At 43.3% G+C, this 18,458-nt stretch overlaps 2 long non-coding RNA genes and 1 pseudogene across 3 annotated transcripts in view; all 3 read left to right on the forward strand.

Annotated features, from left to right (window-relative positions):
• Positions 1-555: 555 nt before the first annotated feature.
• LOC162137 (Putative uncharacterized protein MGC34800) lies at positions 556-1,800 on the forward strand. Its single transcript, XR_001752133.3, has one exon. It is a non-coding gene; the product is annotated as a Putative uncharacterized protein MGC34800 (long non-coding RNA).
• Positions 1,800-5,301, forward strand: LOC107984902 (sal-like protein 3). Its single transcript, XR_005647010.1, has 2 exons — positions 1,800-2,412; positions 3,950-5,301. It is a non-coding gene; the product is annotated as a sal-like protein 3 (long non-coding RNA).
• Positions 5,302-8,897: 3,596 nt separating this feature from the next.
• CCNYL3 (cyclin Y like 3 (pseudogene)) overlaps positions 8,898-18,458 on the forward strand; it is a 29,980-nt pseudogene continuing 20,419 nt past the window's right edge. Inside the window, exons 1-4 of the transcript NR_158158.1 lie at positions 8,898-9,626; positions 10,920-10,979; positions 13,329-13,363; positions 16,870-16,988. The product of NR_158158.1 is annotated as a cyclin Y like 3 (pseudogene) (transcript). The remainder of the gene's footprint in view (positions 9,627-10,919; positions 10,980-13,328; positions 13,364-16,869; positions 16,989-18,458) is intronic.

Consider the following 18,458-nt stretch of genomic DNA (forward strand, 5'->3'; position numbering starts at 1 on the left):
GGTTTATTTTTCTTTGCTTCTTAAACATTATACACTAAAATCATGTCAGAAGTATACCATATTCTAATATAAAATAGTTCCATCTTTAGTGAAGGTCAATCTCCTGACAGTGTGACTATTTAATAAAGGTAGAGATATGTGATCGCTGCTTCCAATTTGCCTTGAATGAGAAATTTCCCGTATCATTGGAATTCAGCATAAACGGAGAGTCACCATGCTCTGAATGATGGTCTGAAGGCAGGGATGCTGGAGCATAAGGTAGAATTTTGCTATAATATTGGATGTATTAAAATATATATCTTTTGATTTATATTTATTACATAAACAATTCTAGCAACCTCATTTCTTATCTTCCCTTCTGTTAACTCAGAGACGTCCCCTGTTTATTTTTTTTTCTTGGTAGTTTTCTGAGCTGTTCAATCTTTCAGACAACCAGCTTGTGTCTGAACATATGTATGTGTGTGTGACGCATGCACATGTCACAGAGTGAGCTGTTGTGTGTGCATATGTGTGCGTGTAGATGGTTGAGAGGCACCAATGACAGGCTGTCTGGGTGCAAGCAGGCCAAGCCCCACTCCTCAAGATGGAGGAGGAGCTGCTGCTCCCGGTGGGGACTCCCCAGTAGGCCACTGGGGGAAGCCCCACGACCCAGACAGCAGGTGGAGAGCAGCAGCTGGCCGGAGATCGACTTCAGCGAGAAACTGTGCGGAGCTCCAGCAGCTGGACTTCCTGGAGCAGAAGAGCCGCTGAACCCCGCCCCTGCTGATCTCACTGCACACAGCCTAGGGCCCCACCCGCCGAGGACTCCAGAACCTTCTCCTACCAGCTCGCCCAGAGACCAAGCCAAGAGAGTGGTCTCTGAGGAGCCCGCTAGAAAGGCAAGGCGAGGCCCGCAGAGAAGGATGCCAAGCCTGTAGAAGCAGAGACGTCGGGGATGGGGGACCTGCCCTGGGCGCCGCCAGAGGCCCAAGCGCCCAGCACCGCAGGAGCTGGAGACGTCGCTGAGCACCAGGTGGCGCCGGCGCGGTTCCTACAGGGAGCCTGGAGGCAGGCTGCGGGGTGGCTGTGCCGGGAGACTGGAGCGGCTCCTGGCTCCGCGCAGGCAGGGCCCCCAGAGACAGCTCATGCAGCAGATCCGCAGCCCCGGGGCCCTCAGGCACCGCCGCGGCTGCCGCCCTCGCTCAGTCCCGAGCGCGTCCACCCTGGCCAGCCAGCTGCCCCCGCTGAACCTGCGCCGGGCGCTCCGGCTCTCCGTTCGGGCCCCAGCCAACCCCGCGGGCTCAGGCTCCCAGTTCCTGTCCCAGCCTGCGCCGGCTCCAGCGCCCCCGGCTCTCCAGCTGCTCTTCCCGACTCCTATCCTTGGCCGCCCCCAGCGCGGAACCGACCCGCGACCCTACCGCCAACATCGCGGGTCTCGCCTCTCGCAGCCTTTTTGGCGTCCGCGCCTCAGCGTTGAAGCCAGGGCCCCTCGTGAGCTCGGCGCCCAGCCTGTCAAGTCCTCTTCTGCCTCAGCTCTCACAGCAGTGTCTTCCCCGCCTGCTGGTCGGCATCGCGCCACAGCCAATGTCTCCTGTTGCTGTCCGCCCCCGCGAAGCGCTGCAAGGGCCAGCGCCCAACCTGTCGCTGCGGAAGACCGGGGCATAGAACCTGTCCTGGTGCTGGGCAAGCGCTTCCGCCCCAAGTCCCCGACCTGGGCAACCTGGAGGAGCCCAGGGAATAGCGCTCAGGACCCAGAGGCTGGACAGCCAGCCCGCCCGCCCGTCCCTGGCCACGAGGCGCCCCGGACCTGACCACCGCCCCCGCCACCTCCGCCGGTGGGCAAGGAGGGTCCCCTTTCAGCCTGCAGTTCCTCAGCAGAGAGGAGGGCCCTCCGCAGGCCCGCGCCCGGTCCCACACTGGGGAGAAGCCGTTCAGCGGCGCCATCTGCGGTAGGGCCTTCACCACTAAGGGCAACCTCCAGGTACACTTGGCACTCACATGTGGAATAACCACCCTCACAACCTCCCCCAAGGCGAGCTGCCGCGGTGGAACAGTCCATGGCTCTGCTAGGGGATGATGGCCTGAAGTTCTCTGAAATATTCCGGAAGGATCTGACAGCCCAAATAATGAATGGCGACCCCAATATTTGGAACCAGGAAGCTGCAGCTCACCCCCAGGAGCTTCCCATAAAGAACAATGAGATTTCCATCATTCAGAACAGAGGCTTTTCCCAGATCCCAGGAAGTTTTGGCTGCTGCACCATCCCTCTGGGTACCCTGGGGTGCAAAGAGCGCAAAATAGCCCTCCCATTGTCAGTCTGGACAACGCACCTCAGCAGCCTGCATAGCAGGCAGCGTCCATTCGCCAGGTTACCCAGGAGAACAAGGAGATGGTCTAAACTAGCTCAACACACGGGACTCGCGTCCTTCAACAGTGAGTCTGACTGTTCTTGAGAACTCTGCAACCTTTTAAGTGAAAAAAAAAGGTGATTGCAAAACGGCCTCAGGAACAGAAAGAGCCCAGGCAATCCTCACTTCTTTTCTACTAAAACCCAGTAATCCCTAGAGGGAGAAAGGGCGTCTCCTGCAGTATTCCACTGAAACTCGCTGGTTTTGCTCGAATTAGACACTTGAACTATGTTTTTAGAACTCTTCATCTTAAAAGAAGTGGTTTAGTAGTCCAAATGCTGTGTATTATGACAGTGTCTTCCTCTGACGTATTTATAATGTTAAGATTATGTGGGCAACAGACAATATAATAACCCTAACCTTAAATGAAGTTTATCTACTTCTGAATAAATCTGGCTAGGTAAATTTTTTTAAGCAAGATTTGTTTTACTATAAATAAGTGGATTATTTCAATGCAATGTGAAGTTCTATTGGGAAAGAGAGAATGCTTTGTGTGTACAAGTACCTGTCGGTAAGAAGCTTTTTTTTAAAATTTAAATGTTTGTAGCCACTATGTGGACAGTTATTTTCTAGTGTGGTCTGTAGCCCAATGACTGGGGAACAAGTTACAGACAAAATATCATAAATTATTGACAATATTATAAGCAGTTGTGAGTAAATATTTTACATTATTAAAGCTGTGCAATAATAAGATAGTGTTTCCGGGCGGGCACGGTGGCTCACATGTATAATCTCAGCACTTTGGGAGGCTGAGGCAGGCGGGTCACCTGAAGTCAGGAGTTGGAGACCAGCCTGGTCAACATGGCGAAACCCCGTCTCTACTAAAAATACAAAAAAAGCCGGGCGTGGTGGCAGGTGCCTGTAATCCCAGCTACTCTGGAAGCTGAGGCATGAGAATCTCTTGAACCTGGGAGGCAGAGGTTGCAGATCAGGCCACTGCATTCCAGCTTGGGGGATAAAGTGAGACTCTCCAAAAAAAAAAAAAAAAAAAAAGAAAAAAAAAAGATGGTGTTTCTATAATGTGATTGCAAACTTTTAATGTATGCGATTGGACTTTCTGTATTTTGTATTAGAAAGGTTTGTTTATAATTTGAACATTTAAAATTATGTAAAGTATTTCATGAATCATACTCTAAGGAAAATGAAAAAACCAATGTTTTGTTTGTCTTAAGATCAAACAATGTTAGAAATCTATGCTACTTTAACAGAAGAGCCACCAAAACTTGTTAGCTCCTCAATACAATAGGAGCTGCTGTTTCTTAAAATGATTTAACTTTTCTACAAAGCCCATTTAAAAACTGTGATCATCCCTAATGAAACTTTGATGAATTAATCTTAGGACTGTGACATCAGTAGAGCCAGGAAGGAACTAGGAAAACACTGTTAAATTTTACTGTAAGCGGGTCTGTCTCTCTCTCACATTCCCACAGACAAGATTGTGACTGTCTGGTAGCACTGGTCATTTGGACAGTTAATCTGAGAAAAATAGCCAGTATCTGGCATCATAATCACTCATGGCTTTGACTTTTTCTGGTTTCCTGATTTATTTATTATCTTTTCAGATGAAAGCAAAACACAATGTCCTCTGATTATTCGGAACACAGTCTGATGCTGATGGCCTGTCCATTGTATCCAGTGAGAAAAGAGGCCAGGACACTGAGGCAGGCTGAATCAAAACTTGAACAGAAGTGTTGTGTGTATCACCTCATTTTCACGCATTTCAAGTGTGCTGGCACCTGACATTATAAACTTCCAACAACAGAATTGTTCAAGAGATGTTCAAGAGATGTTCTGAGTAGCTGAGTGACAGTGCAAGGAGGTGCATGGTTCCTGAAGAAAGAATCAGACAGTGAAGTCTTCTCAGTTGAGACAAATAGAAAATCTCTTTCTCACATAACTACAGCGATAACAGAAAATATTGTAAGAGGATGAGCTATTTTTGCCAGTGCATCATTGAACAAAAAAGTTTCAAAGACTCATTAGCTGTTTACTTCTGTTGGAAATTAACGTTGAGCTCTAAAAGTTTTCCATAGTGTTGAGATGTAACTCCCCCATGTCATACCACATGTTGTTCCCCATCATAAGATGTTGTTCCCTCATCATAAGATGAGGGATTGAGGGTGTTGCAAGCATTGGGAAAAGAAAACTGAGGTGGCTTAATGTTGCTGTGTTTTAGCAGTTGAATGCTTTATTATTTATCTGGTTTTTTTTTGTATGATTTTTTTGGTTAGTATTTGGTACCATGTAGTGCTGTGTCTTCTCCCAAAAAGATGTGTATTTAGCTTAGGAAAGAAATGCAAAGTGTGGTTGATAAAATGGCTCATGAAAGTGCAGTGAGACTGACCCCATCCTGTATTCAGGGATAGGCCATCCCTCTCTGCCAGTGAAGAGAGACACTATCTTTATACCGTAATACCACGTAGAGCTAGGGCTTCCCTGATCCAGCTGGGGATTGTTACCTACACCCAATATTGTTTATTGTTAAATCTTGTGGCTTGAAATGTCTACTGATTGAAATGGATGTCTTGGTCTAGGTTACTATTTTTGACATATGTAACTGAAAAAAAAAGCAGGATGTATATTTTAATTTTTTAAAATTTACCATTTTATTTCACGTTATTGTACCAAGCTCATGAAATGTTTTACTATTTGTCAGAAAAGTGACATTATGGCACATGCATTCTAAGATTTAATACATTGTTTTTAGGGAGGTTGAAATACAGTATCCTGAATCTTAAATATTATAGAACTCTTAAACAATTTGGCTTAGCTGGAGAAGGCTGGGGTATATTTAAGAATGTTATGTGTTCTGCATTACTCCTTAAGAAACAGATTTTCAGGCTGGCTGTGGTGGCTCACACCCATAATCCCAACACTTTGGGAGGCCGAGGCAGGAGGATTGCTTGAGGCCAGGAGTTCGAGACCAGCTTAGGCAACAGAGCAAGACCTGATCTCTATAAAAAAATAAAATAAAAAAAGAAACACGCTTTTGAGATAATAGTGATAACACCTGACTCTGTTACATATCACACTAAGACTAATTGAAGATAAGGAAAATTGGTTCTTGAGATAACAGAGACAAAGTAGACAGAACACATTGATTTCTGATGTAACACATAGTCAGTGTTTGAGGAAACTGTTTATAGAAAGTGAAGCCAAAGTACTTTATTTTACCAAGGTAACTTTTAATAACCCAACTGTTGGATGAATAAAGCTTTTTGAAAAATTCGAAGCAAATGTTACTCATCATTTGGAGTCTGGATGTCCCAGTTCACAGGGTTACTTCTGAAATGTAGAACACATGCAGCCTTCTGATCAAAGGAGAGTGAGGGGACTGCTCCTGCCAGGGCCCAGTTCAGCCGCAGGACCCCATGGCGGCCCATGGTCTTGGTCCATGCTGTGGGAGCAGTACAGGATTTATTCACTCAATAAACATTCACTAGGGGCTTACCATGCCGTGGATCCTAGGAGTCTGCAGAACACATCCAGCTGAAACCCTCTTCTGCGGTAGACCTTCAGTTATTCAAATACTACTCTCATTTTTTCACTGAAATGTTGTCAGTCATTCTCAGGATAAACATCACTTGTTTCTTTAACCAGTCCTCACTTATTGTGGTTTTCAGTTCCTTCATAATCCAGCAGTCATGGAAGGAAATGGGAGAAGGTGGGAGAGGGCTTTCCAGTTACTGAATGGAAGTTGGGCTTCCAGTACCAAGGACTTTGGGAAGCAGGCCATACCCTTTCAAGGAGTGCGTTATGAATGCAGTAATTCACACAAGTATTAGACATTACAACATATATGGACTGTAAGTTTTTGTGGCTAGAGGATTCACTGGTATATTCACGGGGAAGTGAATGCTTTTGTGAGTGAGTTTCTTATCCTGCAGAAACGCTTTGGGACCACATCAGGCTGCATCACATTGACTGTCTCATGTTGTTTCTCAAAATAGTCATAGATTCCATGTGGTTAAATCACCCATTTTAAAAGCAAAGCCAAATTTATTTCCTACGACCATATTTGACCATATGGTCATAATTCCTATGACCAATATGACTATATTATTTCCACATTTCCTGTGACCACAGGAACACCTCAGGGCATCACTAGACAAGTAAATTATGGTTTTGACAAGTATCCACTGATACAGAATCATTGAATGGTAGAGCTGGTCAGGGCTTTAAAAAGTCATCTATTCCAATGCTGGTTATTTGCAAAGAAAGGGCTGAGAATCACAGTGATTATATAACCTGCCCACAGTCACAACAGTAGTTAAGTAACCACACTGGGACTCGTAACTCCATATCTTGAATTCTAGACCAGAGCTCTCTATCCTAAAGCAATGTTAGAGGTACTCTTTTTAATTATACTAATAAAAAGTAATTTTTTATGCAGACTGGCTCTCACTGTGTTGGCCAGCCTGGACTCGAATTCCTGGCCCTAAGTGATTCACTCACTTTGGCCTTCCAAATTGCTAGGATTACAGGAAAGAACCACCCCACACCTGACCTTTGGAGGGACTCTGGCTTTGTGTGTTTGGGCTAGCCTTCCTGTGTAGTCAGTAAGATGTTCCTGCAGTGTACTTTGGGATCTTTCTGCACAAATTCAGTAGACAGTGTGATTTTTTTTCATATAATAAATGTATTGCAAATAAATTTGCAATAAATAAACTAGACAATTAATTCACAGTTAGTAACCTACGGCCTAGAAAATTTCATTTCTTTATCCACACATGTTTGTAAGGAGATGATTGAAGAAGTAGTCTAAATATGCAGATTCCTAATCATCCCCAGGAAGAATGGAACCACTGAAAGGCAACCTGGGAGGGTGTGTGGGGTTGTTCTGAGGTTGTGAAAGCCACTGAAATTCACACATAAGGGGATAGTAAAAGGGAATCCACATCTTTTGAGTACCTTCATGTGCTGGGTATAACTTGGTCTTCGTTAAGATGATGCACCACCTTTGGAGTCAGACAGAACTGGATTGAATCCCAGTTCCATCGCTTATTACTACATGATCGTGAATGTGTTTTTAGCTCATCTGAGTCTCAGTTTTCTCACCTTTAAAAATGGGCTTGTTATGAGGCTTACGTATGGTACATATGTAAAAATCTAGACACAATGCCTGTAATTTTGTAAGCATTCAATATATGGAAGGAGCAGTATTATATTTCCCTCATTTAATCTTTAGAGCAAGTTTATAAAATTTGTGTTATTATTCATATTTTTTAGATAAACCGAGGATGAGAAAGATTACATAAATCACTCCAGCCTGGGCGAGAGTGAGGCCCTATCATATATATATATCCTATATATAGCTATATATAGATAGTTTTAAGATAACAGATAAAATAAAAATGTCTCCAAAATTTAGAAATTTGTTTCGAATTAATCAGTGCCCCTGGCAGATCATTTAAGTTAAAATTTTTCTTCTGATACTTGCTTTAGTTGTCTACAAATTCATGCCCTTATACTTGATCCTTCTACATAAGCAGAAGTCTAATTCTAGGCATTGTTCTTTGTCTGGAGCTATGCACCTAGTACATAATTAATTAAAAGTGCTTACCTGTCCGACTGCAGTGGGTCACGCCTGTAATCCCAGCACTTTGAGAGGCCAAGGCGGGTGGAGCACCTGAGGTCGGGAGTTCCAGACCAGCCTGACCAACACGGAGAAACTCCGTCTGTACTAAAAGTACAAAATGAGCTGGGCGTGGTGGCGCATGCCTGTAGTCCCAGCTACTCAGGAGGCTGAGGCAGGAGAATCGCTTGAACCCAGGAGGTGGAGGTTATGGTGAGCTGAGATCGCGCTATTGCACTCCAGCCTGGGCAACAAGAGCGACACTCCGTCCCCCCACCCCCCACCAAAAAAAAGCAATTATGATCACATTTAAAATCTTATTATGTGGTGGTTTTCTCTCCTCTCCTCTCCTCCCTTTCCCTCCTCTCCCCTCCCCTCCCCTCTCTTCTCTTCTTTTCTTTTCTTCTTTTTTTGAGACGTAGTCTTGCTCTGTCGCCCAGGCTGGAGTGCAATGGTGCGATCTCGGCTCACTGCAACCTCCGCCTCCCAGGTTCGGGCGATTCTCCTGCCTCAGCTCCAGAGTAGCTGGAACTACATGCGCGTGCCACCACACCCGGCTATTTTTTTGTATTTTTAGTAGGGACGGGGTTTCACCATGTTAGCCAGGATAGTCTCGATCTTCTGGCCTCATGACCCGCCCGCCTTGGCCTCCCAAAGTGTTAGGATTACAGATGTGAACCACCGCGCCCGGCCCAGTTTTCTTTTACATAAGCCTCTTCTTTTGTTGAAAACATAAGATCTTCCTCACAGTGGAGAAACCTGAAAGCTCCCAGCAGCCAGTAATGAATGAAAGGTGGGGGCGGGGCTGCCGGCATGGCAGGGCCTAGTGAGCCTTGTGCCTAGGCTCCTACATCACAATGGGGGCGGGGGCACGTGGAGGGGTCTCTGGGCCTGATTGGTTCCTGGGAACCGGGAGGGAGCTCTGGCGGTTGGCAGGGCAACCTCCTTCAGTTGGTGGGAAGCGGTGGGAGGAGGAGGAGCTCCATCTGTGCTCTCTTCTCCGCAGTCACAACTCTCAGGCTTGTTGCATCTAGACCCATTCTAAATAAACCAAGCAGATTCCCAAGGGACCCTTGCAGACAAGTCAGCTCAGGGGAGGCGGCTGAGGCGGGGTGCGGGCTGCTAGTGGGGTGCAGCCCCATAGCCGGGGCTGGCCCTGCCAGCGTGCCTTTCCTGGGAAGAGGTGGAAGTGCTGAGCTCTGCAGACTTGGAAGCAAGGGAAGGCCCAAGCTGCTGGAGAGGAGCCGGGCTACCCCATGGGGATAGCCCACGCTGAGCTATTGCTTGGGCACCAACGCCAGCCTCAAGCGGGGCCAGCGCAGGAGGTCTGGGGAGCTGTCCTGCAGCGCTGACATCTATGAGGCAGCGTCAAGCAAAGGTGTAGGCCAAGGCAGAGAGGAGCGGAGGCGCCGCAGATGGAACATGCTGCTCCCTGATGCCAGCCCCAAGCAAAGCCAGCGCAGGGTGCTGTGGGCGGAACCGCCCTGCAGCTATAACCTCACGGAGGCAGAGGTGGCAGTAAAAAAAAAAAAAAATCCCCACACCCCACTGCTGTGGAGCCTGCCCAGTCGGATTTCGGAGCCCGCGAGGGCCATGACCTGCAACACATCAGTGACCAGGAGATGCCCAAAAGTAAGGAGGCGACTGATAGTGTTTGCCCTCAGGTGAGCCTCTGGCAGCCGCTGTCCCAAGGTCCCCCCAGAGGCATCCACAGCCTCGGACTCCTCCCTCCTGCCCCTAGCCAGGTTTCCTAGGCCCAGGCACCAGGCAGGAGGACTGGCCTTGCCTCGTGCCTACGTCCCCCACCTCCCCCCTGCAACCAATTTTTTTTCCCTGTAGCATCTGGTGGTTTCTCTCCTCCTCCCTACCCCAGTGCCCAGTTCTGGCCCCTTTCTCATCCCCCAAGGCTAGGCAGAAACTAAGTTTTCAAAATAGAAAATGTATGCTACAGATTTCATTGCTATAGAGGAAGTGTCTTACAGCTCTTCTGTTTAAACATTGGTTGACCTCTTAATTTATTTAAACGTTTGAATAATTAAGCTTCATGATGAATGTGGCTTTGTTGCTGGAAAGTACTGTACTCTCGGAATATTAAAAAATCGTGAAAGAATGAACAAAGATAGTATGTGAATGAATTGTACCTTTATACACAAAGCATGCAAGTACTTGTGAAAGTTTTTCCTCGTTTGGTGGTGTAAGGTAGGCCTCGGAGTGGTTTTACACACTAGGTAGTAGATGGGTAGTGTTGGATGAGAGCCCAAAATAGACTCTTTATATCATTCTTTAGGATTTACAACACATTTTCATGTACGTCTCATGTATCACCCTGTCTCTACAAAAAAAAAGGGTTAAAAATTAGCCAGGTATGGTGGCTTGCACCCATAGTCTCAGCTGCAAGAGGATATTTTGAGCCCAGGAGTTTGAAGCTTCAGTGAGCTATGCTGGCTCCATCGCACCATTGCATCACTCCAGCCTGGGCAACAGAGTGAGACCCTGTCTCTTTAAAAAATTGTTTTTTTGCCCAAAACAGCTCTTTATTTTAACATATTTGCTATATTGAGCCGGTGTCTGACAGTAATTGACCACAGCATCACTTGCTGCTTGAGACTTTCCCTGAAATGCGCTGGTAATAGCAGCATAGAGGAGGGTGGGTATATTTGATAAGTAGAAGGAGGAGGGCGTGTGTATGATTCATCTAAAAGTGGCATCAGTTTATTTAGGTGCAAGTTCTAAAATGAAGTCCCAGACACAGCCTGGTTTTATTCCACATACGTGGAGAACTTCTGTGATTTTTGCATTCTCCAGTAGAATTGGGACATTGTGGCCTTTATTTTCTTTACATTTATCACTAAAAACTTTTCTCAAGACTCTTAAAAGTGATTAAAATGGATGTGTAGCTTTAAAAAGAATCTTTTCTACTCACTTAAATTATCACATTTTTCCTTCTTCCTCTACAGATTTTGCTTCTGACTGTCCAGGGGAAAGCACACTCTTCCTGAGAAAATATCAAATGAGTGGTAAGACAATATTGTTTCTTCCTCCAAGCAAAAAACTACAAACTTTCTGTTTCATGTATTACAGAAAGTATTTAGAGGAACTCAGATATTAGTTAAAAAAATTTCAACTTTTTATATATTTACTTGTCTTATTTTAATATGTGACATAATTTCCTTTAGTTGACACTGTTCATGGAAACATGCAGGCTTTATGTCTCCACGTTTGATGACATTTTTATCAATGCAATTAATTGGCCACATGATTTGGTGTAGTAGTCATGGATGTATGCCTTTTTCTTCATACATCTTTCCCATTTTTCCCTTGCTCCAAAGAGTACATGTTAATGATGAGTGATAAGATTTAGGCTACAGCTTGGAGTTCACTTGAACAAATCAAAAGAATCTGTTGTTCTAGATTGGATCCGTGATTTTGGCCTCCTTTTTACACAGTGCTCTAACCGCATGAGCCTGTCACATCCATGTTCATGCTACTCAGAACTTTTTCATTCGAATGTAATGGAAATGTAAACATGGCCTGTGCTGTTTTCCAGGTTAGCCTTAGTGTGTGAAACTAGTGTAAAGTTTCCACATCCTGCTTGTTTTAGGATGAGAATTAGAACTGTAGGAGTTTTCTGTACTCCTGCTTATTTTTTTGTAACATTCTGCTAAATCTTACTGTTTTTTCAAAAAAGCCATACACCATGTTTTTCAGTTGTTTTCAACAGCAAGAATACAAGAAGTGGGGTTTCTATAATAACATCTGAAGTAATGCAGCACAATAAAAAATGGGTTTCTCCCCTGCATTTTCATAGTTTGTATGGACTTTGCCTGTCTCAAGCTGGTAACTTCTGGTTAGGATTGTTGTATTTCTCAGTTTCTTCCAGAGCCATGGGCTTCTCACACATAGAGTGTATGGAAGTGGAAGAAAACCTACCCCATGCCCCTGTCTCTTCAGCAGTGAGAAATGTGTGTCAGTGAGACCAGCTCAACTTCAAAGAAGGAGGCATTGTAGGGAACAAAGTGTGGCCCAAGTCCCCCTTGTAGCTTTTATTCTTTGGACCTGTATTAGAATGAAATGATTTTGTGTCCTGAGGATACCAAGTTCATTTAGGTTGGCACACTCATGTTAACATTTGAGTTAAGCTAGGCTACTTTTCAGTTGTGTAAAGACCTGTTTATTTTTTCAGTAACATATTAGTAGACGACCGATCAGTCATTGGATGCTTGCAGGGATTCTAGTGCATCTAAAGACTGGCTCCTGGCCAGAAACTGGTTCTTAGAGCTGTCAGCTATTAGATCTTGGTAATGAAAGTAAGCTATGTGTAAATGTAGAATCAGAAAACACTACTGCTTAGGGGTTCAGATATACAATAGGTAAATTTTTTATTAGCTAAATTTCTCATCTGTCCTGTATTTTGGCATTTCTATGAAGGAATACCTGAGACTGGATAATTTATAAAAAAAGAGGCTTTATTGGCTCACGGTTCTACAGGCTGTACAGGAAGTGTGGTGCTAGCATCTGCTTCTGGCAAGGGCTTCAAGAAACTAATAATCATGGTGGAAGGTGAAGTCATCTCTCACATGGTGAGAGGAGGAGCAAGAGAGAGTGGGAGGTGCCGCCTTCTTTTAAACAAGCAGATCAGGCCAGGTGTGGTGGCTCATGCCTGTAACCCCAGCACTTTGGGAGGCTGAGGCAGGCAGATCACTTGAGGCTGGAGTCTGAGACCAGCCTTGGCCAACATAGTGAGACCCTGTCTCTACAAAAAATTTAAAAATTAGCCAGGTGTGGTGGTTCGTGCTTGCAGCCCCAGCTACTCCGCAGGCTAAGGTGGGAGGATCACTTGAGCCCAGGAGGTCAAGGTTGCAGTGAACCATAATCATGGCACTGTGCTCCAGCCTGGGCATCAGAGTGAGACCCCATCTCAGAACAACCACCACAACAACAACAAAAACCCAAGAAGATCATGTATGAACTCAGAGCAGGAACTCCCTCATCACCAAGGGGATGGCGCTAAGCCATTCATGAGGGATCTGCCCCCGTGATCCAAACACTTCCCCACCTCCAACACTGGGGACTACATTTCAACATGAGATTTGGAGGGCATACACGTTGCCTAATTTGTTTTGCCTTTCCTTGTGTACATGGGGATTCTTTCATTTTTGTGTAATAGAACATCTGTTAGGTCAAAAATAAAACTATATTTTTAGATTTTACTTTATGCCGGATTATTTAAATGATAACTTTTGTTGGTAAGAATTTTTTAAAATGGAATTTTATCTCATTTTATATAGTGATAATCAGATGATTAGCAACTACTTTTATTCTATGGTATTTATACCAGAATTGATTAGTTATTTTTTCATTCTTAGTGCAAGAAAAGAGGAGCAGCTCTCACCTATATTATGTAAGTAAACTTTTGAAAAGTTAAGAAATTGATTGTTTGAATTAAAAGTCTGTCATGATTCCTTAAAAATTTAACAGGGAGCCGGTGCTGTTAGTGTGATCCTTTTCTGATGGACTTTCTAAATCTCTTCTATTTTCCTAAGTATCAGATTTATACAGGAAAGTCTGTAGCTTACTGTGCCCATTTTTAAGGGTGATTGTGATATTATATCACAATTTGGTTGTGATATAAATATCTGCCTTAAATATTTAATCTTTTGTATTCAAATAAAATTAAAAATAGCTGAGTCTACTTTCTCCAACACTTTCTCCTGACTTCCTGTCATAGCAGGTGAAAGCGTAGCTTCCTCACTCCACTGTGACCTTATTTCCCTCCCCGTTTCTTCCACCTGTAACCCATTTTTTATTAAATCACTAATTGATATTTACATGATTATGACTATGCACATATTATTCACTGCTGAGTCATGTAGTGTTCTGACTGTGCCTCCTCCTTGTGCATCCTTCATTGTTTCTCTTAAATATTTCTGAAATCTGAACACTTCTGCACTTCTCCCAGATAATCCCCCTTTTCCTAGCCCATGATAGCTCATAAAGCCAAATACGACCATTAGCCCCCAGCTGGCCTCTTTGTTTTCACCTCCTTCATTATTTTGTGTGTGGAATTAATTTTCTGACTATGTTCCTTTGCCTCTTTTTTAACAGCTATTCTTCCCCAAGTGGTGTAACATTTGTCACATGCCTATCAAAAATAATGTTTTATTTACTAAAACATATGTTCTGTGTTTTTTCTTGAAGGAACTTTCCTTGGCCTTTGGTTATCCTCCTCCAGGATAGACTGTGTTTCCCTAGGCTGCCCTGGGCCTGTTTCCCTGGGAGCCCTCTCTGAACTCTTATGCGCCCACTCATGTTGGATCCCTGAGTCCTAGACTGTGCATTGCCCTCTGCCTTGTGTTACTCCCCAGTGGTGCTGGAGCACAGTTTCTGAGGAAAGGCTCATGGACACACATGTATAGAGATCTAGCCTCTCTCCAAACCCTTCTTTTGTTATAGAGTATAAAATTCTAGAGTGAAAACTAAGTTTCATGGCTCTGAAGACATTTCCCTATTGTGTTTTCATTATACTGTACTTGAAACTATTGCCATTGTGTGATACATCATATGTAACCAATTTTTACATTTTTGAGCTTTTTAAGACCTTCTGTATTCCTGGGATTCGGAAATTGTATAATACAGCTTTGTGGGGACCTTTTATTTTATTGCAGCCATTAAGTCTGCAGACTATCTCTTTTAGAGAATTGTCCTATATTCTCTGTTTTATTATTATTTTAGTATTCTTATGATTCAAATGTTCGGCCTCTTATAGCAGTATTTCTGCATTGATCTTTAATTTCTTCCCCTCCTATTTTCCAATTTGTCTTTTGTTCTGCTTCTTAGAGATTCTTTGACTTTCTGCGCTAACCCTTCTATTGAATTTTTAAAATCTCCTTAAGGGTATTTTAAGATTTTTTAAAAAGTTTTGCTCCTTAATTTTTACTGGTCCCAGAATTCCTTTTTCCTGTTGTTTTGATCTCTCATTGGAGGCTTCCCTGAGATGTGTGGTAGTCTTTGCCTTTCTCTATTTGGAAGCAGGACCTTTGTTCACTGAGGGGTCTCATTGTGGGGATTTGGAGGTCAAGCCAGCTTTTCTTTTGGGGAAACTCAGTGTATTATATGTGGGTATTTTCTTTGCAATGGTTTAGTTTTCTTCCAAGGAGGATCTCCCAGTTTTCTGCCTGGGCAGTGCAAGCACGGCTGCTGGCTTTCTAGAAGCAGGGTTGGGAAGGAAGGTGCAGTTTCACTTTGTGTGTGCAATTTATTCCCATTTCCCAGGTTTTAGCCCTAGTAGTTCTGAGCCCAGAAACCCTCAGGTATAAAATATCCAGAGAATACACATCCAAATTCCTTCTAAGATGGGAAGAGAGGTGGACTTGGGGCTCTAAGCACAGATTTACAGTTGACCTTGCTGGCTTCAGTTGTATATTTCACCCTACCTTCCCAGGTACCATGTGCCTCTGATTTTGGAGCCTGAGTTGGGTTCTTCAAAACAAAGAAGATCACTTGTTTCTGTTCAAGTCACTCCCTGTCAGCTCCAAAGTTGTGCTTCCATGTCAGTTGCAACTCCTCTATCAGCTTTTCACCTTGCATCATTGACTCAGAATGATCTGCCATCAATCTTGTCTCCTGGTCCTGTGTATAATGTTTATTTTATGAATAATACTAATGAGATTTCAGAAGGAAGAGAAAATAAATTTCTGGTCAATCCATCATATTTAATGATTTAACCCATATATAAGTGTAAATCTAAGTTTAAATTCAACATAATTATGACATTAATTCAGACAATTTCTATTTATACTTACAATAAGCACATAACACTTTTCCACTCAGGCCTTGTGTAAGAATTCTATTCAAACTCCATACATGCCATGTGGTCCCATTGCTGTGCAACATAGATGGAGCTGTTTTTGTTAGTACACAAAATGTTATAAATTTTTAAGTTAGCTAAAAGTCATTAATTATTTTAAAAATATCTGAAAGATGTCTCTTAAAAAAATGGGGAGAAAAAAGTGATCTTGAGAGCTGAGCATGGTGGCTCACACCTGTATCCCAGCACTTTGAGAGGCTGAGGCAGGCAGATCACTTGAGGCCAGGAGTTTGAGACCAGCATGGCCGACATGGTGAAACCCCATCTCTACTAAAAATACAAAAATTAGCCCGGCATGATGGCACATGCCTGTATTTCCAGCTACACAGGAGGCCAAGGCAGGAGAATTGGTTGAACTTGGGAGGCGGCGGTTGCAGTAAGCTGAGTTCAGGCCACTGCACTCCAGGGTGGGAAACACAGCAAGACTTCCTCAAAGCGCGCACACACACACACACACACACACACACACACACACACCCCAATATATGTTCATTATATGAGATTTTAAATAGAACAAAATGGGGACAGGTATCACCTAAAGCTGTACCAGCTAGTCTGCGTTTTGGTGCGTTTTTTTTTCTGTTCTTTTTATTCTCATATATGGATTTTTTCTCAGAATTGACTTTTGTTACCGCGTAGTATTATGCTGTATTACCCCTAATAGTGGTGACCTTAAGGGATACTTTCTTTCACTTTGAATGAAAGTATCTGAGTGAGTCCATTTTTATTTTTCATGCTATTTTTGTTTTTTCAGGCAATAAAAGTATGTACATTGACATACATACACTGTTAATGTAAAGTATATACATTAATAGAATAGCTTAAGAGACATAAGAGTTTAGCTAGAGTTAAAACATTTCTACCTTGAAGGAGAATTTGGTCCTTCAAATAGTAATATTGTTCAAAAACATCTGGGATTTTTGTTAAGAAGTAAGTGAATTTACAGTGAAAAGCATCTGAAACAAGCAAAATGGTGTTAGACTGTATGGATATTTCTGATTATTGGCTACAGGCAATTTTTAAATACTGTGTACTTTTAGAAACAACTGCTAGATCTCCTCCCTACCCTGTCTTTCATGTACTTGTGGGAGACCCTGATGGAAGAGTGTGATAACATGATGCAGACAAGCATATCCCAATAGGAAGAAGGAAGGCTCATGTGAGTTATTTTTTTAAAAGCTAAAATAATTGGTATTTTGTGGTTTTAAATAATGCTGTTGATCTCTTCAACCATTTGGTGACTAGGATTTGGTTACTGCCATTATTTTTAAGAAAGAGCATTTTTTTTTAAGACAGAGTCTTGCTCTGTCACACAGGCTGGAATGCAGTGGCATGATCTCGGCTCACTGCAACCTCTGTTTCCCAGGTTCAAGCAATTCTCTGTCTCAGCTTCCTGAGTAGCTGAGATTACACGCACCCACCACCACACCTGGCTAATTTTTGTATTTTTAGTAGACACGGGGTTTCACCATCTTGGCCAGGCTGGTCTTGAACTCCGGGCCTCATGATCCACCTGCCTCAGCCTCCCAAAGGGCTGGGATTACCGGAGTGAGCCACTGTGCCCGGCCAGGAAGAGCATTTTTTTAAACATAGATGAGGCAGTTTCCATATTGACTGTTGCACCCTCGACAAATGAATAGATACTTTTAAAGTGTTTTATAAATAGTTTATTTTCTAGAGGGCTCAAAAGGTTCACTGTCACCTCTCTGATAGCACTGCAGATAAATTTCACCAATTTGTAACTGTAGGAAGATTTACCTTCCAAATTGTAACTGATTTAAATAACTTGTCAAGCACTTATTGAACTCCTTAATTTCTCCCACATTCTGTGCTCAGCAGCTGCAGGTAGGAGAGGAAGGACCCTCCCTCCCCTGGAGAGGCTTTCTTTTTCACCAGGGGGATGCTTTGCAGGCAATTGCTATCATGTAACACACGGTGAATTAGACTGACGAGTACACAAAACCGGAAATGTTTTGTGGTGTGGCTGCTGGCAGAGGCATCCCGGAAGGCAGAGGAGGTGAAGCTTGCTGGGATAAGGAGGAAAGAAATAGGTATTCTGGGCAGAGAGCAGCATGACTGAGGCAGGACAGTGCCATGATGTGTGTCAAATTACTTACAGAATAAAATCAATCAACTTTTGAAATGAATGCAAAGTATTCTCGGAAGTTCTCATTTGAGTAATGTAATAGCAGTCTTATGTAAACACGAAGTGAAAGTTAAATTCCTGAAGTGGTTTTCCTCATCTGATTTTCAAATGTGAGAGTCTTAAAGTAGTACTTTTTCTATCTTCCCCCAAGGAAACAGGCCCAGAGAAACCCATGGCCCCTCAATTGTTTGGTCACTGAGCAGCCCTGGCACACAGAATCTCTGACTCTAAAATTCTGATTCCATCACACTGTCTCTTGAATGAGTATATTTAGGATTAGTAATTTAGTGAATGTAGTATTAGGTCTTTATTTACTGCAATAAAAATGCTGTTGTGCCAATATTATTTAATGTATGACATTTTGTTGTAGTTAATGAATAATAGAAATAGAAAATCTCAGCTGCTTTTTACTGCATAATAAAAAACCATGAAATCTTACTTTAAACTTTTCCCATTATTTATAAAGGGAATTCATAATAGAGG

This window comes from Homo sapiens, chromosome 16 (genome assembly GCF_000001405.40).
Source record: "Homo sapiens chromosome 16, GRCh38.p14 Primary Assembly".
NCBI lineage: Eukaryota > Metazoa > Chordata > Mammalia > Primates > Hominidae > Homo > Homo sapiens.